Raw genomic sequence first — 10,095 nt, 5'->3', positions numbered from 1 at the left:
ACTGTGTCCTTACATCTCAGCCCCGAAGATCAGGATTGTGTGCAACTTCGGCCCAAAGGATGCATTTCCCCAGGGTTGAAAGTTTGAGAAAGAGGCTATATTCTGAAGAGTTCTTGTTGTCACCATCAAAAGGATTAAAAAGACGCAATAAATAAGAAAACAGCGTAGTTGGGGGGCATGCTCCATTTGAGGCAGAAAGCCTTGGAAACTTAAGTGTTCTCAAACGGAACGCCATCCTGCTTTGGGGGAACACGGAGGCTGCCTTGCAGTCACGTGATCGCACAACACCAAAGGGCCACGCACTCTGATTTCACCTACTTAACTAAAAGTTGCAGCAAAATCCCTATTACAGGCCAGGCGTGGTGGCTCATGCCTGTAATCCCAGCACTTTGGGAGGCCGAGGAGGGTGGATCATTTGAGGTCAGGAGTTGGAGACCAGCTTGGCCAACATGGTGAGACCCCATCTCTATTAAAAATACAAAAATTAGCCCAGCGTGGTGGTGCACGCCTGTAATCCCAGGCACCCTGGAGGTTGAGGTAGGAGAATCGCTTGAACCCAGGAGGCGGAGGTTGCAGTGAGCCGAGATCACGCCACTGCGCTCCTGCCTGGGCGACAGAGTGAGACTCCATCTCGGGGGGGGAAAAAAAAAAAAAAAATCCCTATTACAAATAAAAGCTGTTGTGATCCAGACTGCATATACCTCTGCGAATGGAACCAGAACCGTGAATTCCAATGCAAATCGATGCATCGGCACCAGACCCGCTGCACTGGATGTATCTGCATTGCAGTCACCCGAGTACGGAGCACATCATAGATGATCTCTGCAGGTTCGTTGCCCACATAGGAGGCATAGCGCAAATTTCAAAGGAACGAATACATCCTGGAGCCCAAACAGCTATCTGGTTCTGCTGCTGGCCTCCTGACAAGTAGGTAAGAGAGTCACATTTTATAGACGACGGACACCAAAACCACACATGAGGAGTACAAGAGTAGCTTTATCATGGATTTAGGGCTGTGGTTACAAGGAAGCTGTAAGGAATAAAATGACTCCCATGAAGACGTACCGTGCGGACGAGTGGAAGGAGAAATTTGGCCATTACAAAGACACAGGAATATGTTAAGAAGTGAGGGGCAGGATGAAATCATCTAGGGTAGGTATTTAGAGGGAGGGCGCCGTGCAAAATAAAATCCTCACTATGAAACAAAGGCGGAGGCAGGAGGCTGCGTTGGGTGGAAGCAGCGGAGGAAGGAGACGAAAGGGATTGTCATTTTCATGTCGTGGCTTTTTAGAAGACAGCCATGTCCTCTACTCTGATTCTATCAAAATGTGTTCTCGGGGTGCTGGTAACGTTCAGCCAACGAAATAATTCCTATGGCGGCAGTAGGAATAACAAAACGCAGAAGCGGGAACGATGTCTTTTTATTCCTCCCCAGACGCAAACGTGGATGCATGAGGTTTGGTAACAGGCAAAGTCATCTGGTTAACGTGACTGATGCAAAAAGTCCCGGCCTGGGCAAAAAGAAGTCACTGGGTGAATGGGATGGATCAGACTCCCTGTCCTGAGGGGGAGATGGTTTCTTGCAGAACGAGGTGAAGGAGGTGGTTCTGCTCAGCAGTCAACAGTGGCCACATCTCCACCTGCAGCGACTTGATGGCTTCCGTGTCCTTTTCGTGGGTAGCCATGACCAAAGACTGGAGCAGCAGAAAGAGCTCCTCGGGAAGCTGGCCGCTGCTCTCCTGCCCGTGGCTGTCAAAAGCCTCCCAGGAGTACTTCTCCAGGGTCTGGGCGTGCTCCGGCAGCAGCTTGGCGGGCGGTGGTTGCAGGAGGAGCAGCAGCAGCACGCGGGACACCTCGCAGCGGACCAGCACGTCCGAGAAGGCGCCCAGGGCGGCGGGAGAGGGCGCCGCCGAGCCGGAGTTCGGAGGAAGCAGCGCGGCCGGTAGGGCGGGCGTCGCCCCGGGCCCGGGCTGGGGTGCCGGCGGCGGGGGCGGCGGCAGTGACTGCACCGGGTGGCTGCCGTGCTCCCGCGCCAGGCGCTGCATGCGCGTGAAGACCGCCAGGGCGCCGGTGTAGTCGCGCGCCAGCAGCTGGCAGGAGGCGGCCTCGCCAAGCGCCTGCAGCGCGGCCAGGGGCAGCTGGGGCAGCTGGAGCTGGGCGGCGCGCTGGAAGTGACCGGCGGCGGCGGCCGGCTGGCCCAGGTCGCGCAGGGCGGCGGCCAGCTCGAGGCAGAGGGCGGCGGCGGCGGCCGGCTGGCCCAGCTCGAGGTGCAGACGCACCGCGGCGCCCAGGGCGCTGGCGGCGGCCTGCAGCGGCTCCCCGTAGGCGGCGGGGCAGACCAGGCGCTGGCGCGCGTCGCGCTCCTGCCGCAGGAAGAGGCGGGCGGCCTCGGTGAGGGCCAGCGCCTCCCCGGGCCCGTGGAAGAGCGCCTGCTGGCAGCGCGCCACCGCCAGCTGGCACCAGGCCGCGTAGGGCAGACACTCCTGGGCGCGCAGCTCCCGGCCCAGCTGTCCGAACTGCTCGCCGGCCTCCGCCACGTTCGGCTTCCGCAGGAACCGCTTCTTCAGCTTGTTCGATACCAGCCGGTAGCGGGCCAGGAAGTCCCCGGCCTCGGGTCCCGGGCCGGCGCCGCCGCCGCCCAGGCCTGCAGCCGCTGCCGCCATGCTCGCCGCCCCAAGCACTTCCCGACGCGCCGCCGCAGCTGGCGGGCGGGCCGGGGCGGGGCGACGTGCCCTGCGTCCCCCTCGGCGGGCTGCCGCCGTGCCCGCGCCGGCTCCCCAGCCCGAGCCTGCCCCTTGCCCTGGTGAGGTGCAAAGAGCGGGATCGGAGGCGGGGCCTGGCCGGGCTGTGAGCGGCGTATGCAAATCGAGGGTCTCGGGGATGCGGATCCAAGACCCTGGGAAGGTACGCGGGGCCTGGCGGGGCACCAGCTGCTGCTAGCTCGGCTGCAATGCAAGTGGTCTAGGTTGCTAAAGGCATCCCACAGCCTCTCCATCTGAACATGACCCAAAGGAAACTCGTGACCCTAATTCCATGTCTGCGCATTTCTGGACTGTTGTCCCCCCCCCCCCCCCCCGCCCCGACTACTCAGTCCTCCGTCTTCCGGTCCAGGGCCCCTTGCCAAGCACCGGGTCCACCTCTCCGTCCCCACCCCGGTTGCCTTAGAAGTCCGTCCTGTCGCAACACTGCAGTCATGGTCTTGAGGCCCACCCGCCCCAACGAACACCATCATGCTGAGGACTTTCCCGGGCAGGCCCTGACTTGCTCAGAACCAGCGGGGGTGTCCCCTTCCCACCCAGGGCCACTCCCCTGCACTGTCACCCGGAGAGACGGCTCCTCTGTGCCATCCCTGGCTCCCACCCAACCCCAGACCCCCACCACCTCTCCATCCCTCCAGCTGTGGAGGTCTCACAACCCCCCAACCCATCTCACCGCCCCCCCACCCCCACCCCAAGGCAAAGTGACTGAAGCGGGCAGATGGCTTCCTTGAAACATTTTATTGACAGAATTAATGAAGGCCCAAGACTTTGGGGCCTGGGTTGTGGGGGGAGGGTGTTTAAGGCCGGGGGTTCAGGCCGGGGGATTTGGGGCCGGGTGGGTGGACGAGTGGACCTGTCAGGTCCCAGGGGCCGGGTGTCAGAAGCTAGTCCTCGCCAGGGGCCACTTGAGAGATGGTGGTCGTGTTGAAAAGGGTGCTCAGTAGCCTGTCGTTGTGAACCACCATGTCCAGCAGCAGGGGAGTGATGTTCCGCTCTCCGCTGTTCTGGGCCTCGTTGCCCGCCAGCTCCAGGACCTTGGCCGTCAGGTACTCAATAACCGCAGCGAGGTAGACCGGCGCCGTGCGACTCAGGCGCTGAGCGTAGTGGCCCTCCCGTAGACTGCGCTCCACCTGGCTCACTGAAAACGAAAGCTCCGCTCGGACGGTGCGAGAGCAGGTCCGCCCCCGGCCGCCAGCACCGGAGGACCCTCGGCGTCTCCTCCTCCTCGGCATGCTGGGCGTTGAGTGTGCTATCTCGGCTTGGCCCAGCTAGGCAAGATGGCTCTCAAGAGGACAGTTACCGCGTCCAGTACTGTGTATCCTAGCGACCAGGGCCCAGCCCCTCATTGGCTAGGGAGCCGAGACCAATGGGCACGCACATCCGGCGACGGGCACGCATGTGGTGACGGCCCCTCACAAGGGACACACGTCCGTCAGGTGACCTCATCACTTTCCCATTGGCCTCGAGGGAGCAGGCCTGGGCCTAGAAGTGGCTGGAGGGCCGTGGGGGTGGGGTGGGGCGGGGCAGGGGGAATCGCGCTGGTGACCCTCTCTTTGCCAGTGGGAACTTTCCCTTTCTACTGGATGGGAACACCGTGGGAAAGACAAAGGGGTGGGCGAGGGGAGGACGGGTACCACGCCTTCACAATGTTGCACATCCATCACGACCACCTAGTTCCAAAACGTTTTCAACACCCCGAAAAGAAACCGAAACCCCTGTACCTATAAGCAGTCACTTGCCGCACGCCTCCTTCCACACCACCACTACCAGCCCCCACACCCTCCCACACACACCCCCTGCCCCCGCCCATACACACGTTCCCGATAGTCCCTGGCAACCCCTAGTCCATCTGCTTTCTGTCCATAGAGGTTAGCCTGTTCTGGAGATTTCCTATAGATGGAATTATACGACCAAATGTGAGGCCGTGTGTGTCTGGCTGCTTTCACTTAGCGTAATGGTTTCATCAGGGTGCATCCATGTAGAGGCATGAATCACTACTTCCTTCCTTTGAATGACTGAGTACGATTCTGTTGTATGAATAGGAGGCCACATTTTGTTTACCCACTCGTCAGTTGATGGACAGGTTATTTCCCCCTTCTGGCTATTGTGAGTGGCACTGCCATGACCATCTCTCTACAGGTTTTTCTTTGAATATCTCTTTTCAGTTCTTTTGGGTCTATTTCTAGCAGTCAAACTGCTGGCTCGTGTGGTAATTCTGTTTAACTTATTGAGGAACCACCAAACTGATTTCCACAGCAGCTGTAATCTTTCGCATTCCCAACAGTAGTGCATGAGAGTCCCAATTTCTTCACAGCCTCATCAAAACCTGTTTTCTGTTTGCCTCATTTTGTTTTGTTTACAGTAGCCATCCTACTGGGTGTCAAGTGCTATCTCATGGTGGTTTTCATTCGTATTTCCCAAATGGCTAATGATGTTGCTGTGGTTTGAGTGCATCCCCCAAATTGTGTGTCTTGGAAACTTAATCCCCAAATTCACATGTTGATTGGAGGCGCAGCCTCTGAGACGGTAATTAGGATTAGATAAGGTCATCGGGGTGAGACCCCCAGGATGCGACTGGTGGCTTTATAAGAATAGGAAGAGAGGCCTGAAACGACATACACGCTCTTGCCCTCTCGCCGTGTGATACCCTCTGCCGTCCCCAGATGCCGGGTCACTTCCCAGTCCCCAGAACGGTAAGAAATAAATTTCTTTTCTTTATAAATTGTTCAGTGTCGGGTATTCAATTATGGCAACAGAAAACAGACTAAGACATCTTTTCATGTGCTTCTTGGCCCTCTGTACCTCTGCTTTGGAGGAATGTCTATTCAAGCCCTTTGCCCATTTTTTAATTCGGTTGATTGTATTTTGGCTGTGGGCTTCTAAAACTTATTCATATATTCTGGAAAATAGACTCTTATCAGATATGTGACTTGCAAATGTTTCTCCCATTCACTTTCTGGATAGAGCCCTTTGTTGCCCAAAAGATTTACATTTGGATGTAGTCCAACTTGCCAAATGAAAAGATATCTGTGGCTTTGCCTTTGGTGTCATACTGAAGGAGCTGTTGCCTAATCCAAGGTCGTGCAAAGTTACATCTCCGTTTTCTTCTTAGAGTTTTATAGTTTCAGCCCTTACATTTAGATCTGTGATCCATTTTGAATTAATTCTTTACATGATGTGAGGTAGGGGTCCAGGGGCCTTCTTTTGCATGTGGCTATCCAGTTGTCCCAGCGCAGTTTGTTGAGGGGATTATTCTTCCCCTCCACCCATTGAGGGGTGCCGGAACTCTTACTGAAAATAAACTTTACATAAATATATGGGTTTATTCCTGACTCTGAGTTCTGTAACATTGACCTAATGTATCGATCACGATGGCAGTACCACCCTTTTCGGATTACTGCGGTTTTGTAGTACGTTTTGAAATTGGGAAGTGTGAGTCCTTCAACTTTTTTCTTTTCTGAGATTGTTTTGGCTATCTGAGCCCCTTACATTTTCTTATGAATTTTAGGATCAGCTTGTCAGTTTTTACAAAGAAGGCAGGTTGGATTCTGACAGGCATCACGATGAATCTGTATATTGCCTTGGAGATTATGGGCATCTTAACAATATTAAGTGTCCCAATCCGTTAACACAAAATGCCTTTCGATTTATTTAGGTCTTCTTTAATTTATTTTAGCAACGTCTTGAAATTTTCAGAGTATACATCTTGTACACCTTTAGTTAAATTTATTCCTCGACATTTTATTGTTTCGATGCTACTGTAAAATGAATCATTTCCTTAATCTTATTTTCATGTTATTCATTGCTAGGGTGTAGAAATACAACCGACTGTTGCAGATTGATCTTGGATACTGCAACTTTGCTGAGCCGAATATGCTTTGCTGAGCATACTCAGACAGGGTTGGCATATTAGTCCGTTCCTACACTGCTATAAAGAACTGCCTGAGAATGGGTAATTCCTAAAGAAAAGAGGTTTAATTGCCTCATGGTTCTGCAGGCTGTACAAGGCTTCTGCTTCTGGGCAGGCCTCAGGAAACGTGCAATCATGGCGGAAGGCGAAGGGGAAGCAAGCACCTTCTTCACATGTTGGAGCAGGAGGAAGAGAGAGAGAACGCACGCAAAGGGGGAAGCGCTGCACATTTTCAAACAATCATCAGATCTTGTGAGCGCTCTATCAGAAGAATAGCAAGGGGGAAGTCCGCCCCCATGATTCAATCACCTCCCACTAGGCCCTTCCTTCAACAGGTGGGGATTACAATTCGACATGAGATTTGGGTGGGGACACAGAGCCAAACCGTCTCAGTTTTTTTTTTTTCTTTTGTTGGACTCTTTAGTGTCCTCTATATAAGAACATGCCATCTATGCATCTATGAATAGAGATGGTTTTACTTGTTCCTTTCCGATCTGGATGCCTTTTATTTCTTTTTCTTGACTAATTGCCCTGACTAGAACTTTGAGTACAATGTTGAGTTACAAGTGGCATTCCTGATCTTAGGGGGAAATCAACCAGTCTTTCACCATTAAGTATGATATTATCTCTGGGTTTTTCATGGATGCCCTCTATCAGGTTGAAGAAGTTTCTTTCTGTTCCTGGTTTGTTGAATTTATTTTCATGAAAGGGTACTGCGTTTTGTCAAATGATCCTTTTTGTACATGATTAAGATGACCATGAGCCCCCTCCCCCGCCCCCGCTCCGCCATGCATTCTGTTAATATGGTGTATTATATAAATTGATTTTCACATGTTGAACCAACCATTAATATGGTGTATTATATACACTGATTTTCACATGTTGAACCAACCTTACATTTGTGGGATAAATCCTATTTGGTCATAGTGTATAAAGAGTGGTCAATAAACATTTCGTTGAAAGAATAGGAGTGGATCTGGCAAGCTTCTTGGAGGACAATGTGTGTGTTAAAGAATCTGTAGCATGATGAGAAGCCAAGGCACCGGTGGGAGGAGGGGAGTTGCAACCAATTCATTAAGGCTGGAGAGTACGATGCCAGTGGAGCAGTAGTGGTTGATGTGGCTGGGAAAGAGGTAGGCAGGAGCCAAGACATGGAGGTTCTATTATGCCATGCTCAGGTTTTAGAATACCCTGTAGGCTACACTGAACCCACTGTGGTCTTTCAGCTTGGGAGTGACGTGGTCTGATTTGCCTCTAGAAATATCACCCTGGAAGCTGTGTGGAGAATAGAACAGAGAGGATTGTGTGTGGAGAATAGAACAGAGAGGACTGAGATTGGAATTAGAAAGCTGCTGTATTATACCAGTCAAGAAATGACAGATATCTCAACTAAGACAATGGCATTGGTAGATAAGACTAGGGGACAGAGTCCATAAAAAGTTTAGGTAGTAAAATGGCACACAGTAGACACTCACTACATATTACTCATACTGGCGAACCTAGCTGGAGACATGATAATTCATGTGCTCATTCTTCAAAAAATATTGAAGGGTAGTGCCAGGTATACTGTGTTAAGCATTGAGACAACACCAACGAGAAATATAGATCAGATCCCTGCATGCAGTCTGGCGGAACATACAGACAAGGAGCCAGACAATGACAACACTATACTGTGATAAGTGCTATGAGAGGGGAAGTTCAAGGTGCTGGTTATAGTTTGGTTTGTTTGACCCCTCCAAATCTCATGTGGAAATTTGATACCCAGTGTTGGAAGGTGGGGTCTAATGGAAGGTGTTTGAGTCATGGGGTGGATCCTTCATGAATGGCTTGGTGCCAGCCTCGCAGTAATGAGTGAGTTCTCACTTGATTCATTCCCACAAGAGCTGGTTGTTAAAAAAGAGTGTAGCACCTCCCCCCCACCCCACCTTGATTCCTCTCTCATCATGTGATCTCTGCACTTGCCGGCTCCCCTTCACCTTATGCCATGAGTGGAAGCAGCCTGAGACCCTCACCAGAAACCAAGCAGATGCCAGCACCATGTTTCCTGTACAGCCTGCAGAATCATGAGCCAAATAAACCTCTTTTCTTTATAAATTACCCAGCCTCAGGTATTCCTTTATAGCAACACAGATGGACTAAGAAAGTGCTGTAGGAACACATAAGAGGAGTACTTTACACAGACGTTTGGGGTTGGGGAAATGTTCCTGGAGAAATGGTGTCCAATATGAAGCTTGAAGAACGAGTACAAGTTAGCCAATTGGAAAAGCGGGGCATTGGTTGGCAGGGGAGGGGAGTGGCGATGGGGAAGTGAAAAAGCTCTAGCATGACTCCACAGGGATAGAGTGAGGTGACCACAGACTTTGGAGTCATTCCTGGACAAATGGGATGAAGGAGGAGGTCTGCGTATGGGTAGGAAGATGAGTTCAGTCTTGAGCGTGTGAAATTTGAAATGCCTGTGGGATATCCAGATGGAGATGAAGGAGATTTGGCTTAGGAGTTCAGGAGTGAAGTCAATACTGAAAATACAGATTTGCGACTCATCAGGGTAGTTCTTGAAGCCATGAATGTAGTTGAGACCATTCAGGGAGAGCACATAGAATATATAAGGGGACCAAGGACAACTTCTTTTAAGGGGCAAGCAAAAGAGGAACATCATTGGAAGAAGACTAGAGGAGTGTCTCCACAGATAAAGTTGGTGCGGGGTGGGGGGGCACGCTAAAAGATAATCAAGCCAGAAAGAGATGAGAGCAAAGGTGCAGAAGGAAGCCAGAGGAACTGAAGAAGAAGGGACAAACTCAGAAACACTTGCTGAGTTCCAAAATGATAAGCATTAAAACCTGTTCACTGAGTTAAGCAATGCAAGTGTTGCTGGGGGCCTTGGCAAGAGCAATTTCAGTGGAGGGGCTGGAGGCAGAAACTAGACCAGACTTGTACTAGGAGCTCGTGAGAAATTCTAAGACATATCTTCCCAATACTGGGCAGCATGATAAATGTCCACATTAGAGAGAATTGGTGAGCAGGTCATGCTCAGCCAAGGCATTTTACATGCCTAGTGGAATCTCATGCAGGAAGCTTCTCTAAGCGTAGAGGTAAGGGTAGGTCTGATGGCAACAATCTCTCTTACTTTTCCTTCTTCTGCGAATGTCTTGATTTCCCCTGCATTCCTGAAGGTAATTTCACTTTGTAGACAGGGTTCTGGTTCTTTTGTTTCGCCACTTGAGAAGTGTTATGCCACTTCCTCTGGCCTCCATGGTTTCTAATGAGAAATATATTGCCATTCTAATTCCTTTTCCCGTATAGGTAAGGTTTCCTTTCTCTCTCTCTCTGCTTTTGGGACTTTTTTCCTAGGTCCTTAGTTTTCAGAAGTTTGACTGTGATGCTTCTTGGTGTAGGTTTCTTTAAGATTATTCTGTTTGGGGTTCACTC

At 51.4% G+C, this 10,095-nt stretch overlaps 2 protein-coding genes and 1 non-coding gene across 3 annotated transcripts, besides 4 other annotated features; 1 reads left to right on the top strand and 2 right to left on the bottom strand.

The window, feature by feature from the left end:
- Nucleotides 1–8,268: part of a non allelic homologous recombination region, noted in NCBI's record as "int22h-2 recombination region, recombines with the int22h-1 and int22h-3 recombination regions", that runs on past the window's edge. NCBI's record gives the evidence for it as "EXISTENCE:polymerase chain reaction evidence [ECO:0000082][PMID:9694739]" and "EXISTENCE:restriction fragment detection evidence [ECO:0001124][PMID:8275087, PMID:8528212, PMID:7981669]".
- Nucleotides 707–5,086: a meiotic recombination region, noted in NCBI's record as "meiotic double-strand break mapped by DNA meiotic recombinase 1 chromatin immunoprecipitation followed by single-stranded DNA enrichment and sequencing in the germ cells of some male individuals with PRDM9 A/A, PRDM9 A/B and PRDM9 A/C genotypes". NCBI's record gives the evidence for it as "EXISTENCE:chromatin immunoprecipitation-seq evidence [ECO:0000229][PMID:25395542]".
- On the bottom strand, nt 977–2,683 carry F8A2 (coagulation factor VIII associated 2). Its single transcript, NM_001007523.2, has one exon. It carries the CDS (start codon nt 2,661–2,663, stop codon nt 1,548–1,550), a length of 1,116 nt encoding a protein of 371 aa, NP_001007524.1. The 5' UTR covers nt 2,664–2,683; the 3' UTR covers nt 977–1,547.
- On the top strand, nt 1,580–1,678 carry MIR1184-2 (microRNA 1184-2). Its single transcript, NR_036259.1, has one exon. It is a non-coding gene; the product is annotated as a microRNA 1184-2 (primary transcript).
- Nucleotides 1,590–1,602: a nucleotide motif, noted in NCBI's record as "nucleotide motif; similarity to the predicted 13-mer PRDM9 A binding motif (LD hotspot motif), CCNCCNTNNCCNC".
- Nucleotides 2,756–2,768: a nucleotide motif, noted in NCBI's record as "nucleotide motif; similarity to the predicted 13-mer PRDM9 A binding motif (LD hotspot motif), CCNCCNTNNCCNC".
- H2AB2 (H2A.B variant histone 2) lies at nt 3,479–4,069 on the bottom strand. The gene has a single exon (NM_001017991.3). It carries the CDS (start codon nt 3,989–3,991, stop codon nt 3,644–3,646), a length of 348 nt encoding a protein of 115 aa, NP_001017991.1. The 5' UTR covers nt 3,992–4,069; the 3' UTR covers nt 3,479–3,643.

Source organism: Homo sapiens, chromosome X (assembly GCF_000001405.40).
Source record: "Homo sapiens chromosome X, GRCh38.p14 Primary Assembly".
Taxonomy (NCBI): domain Eukaryota; kingdom Metazoa; phylum Chordata; class Mammalia; order Primates; family Hominidae; genus Homo; species Homo sapiens.
This window is presented reverse-complemented; position numbering and strand designations above follow the sequence as displayed.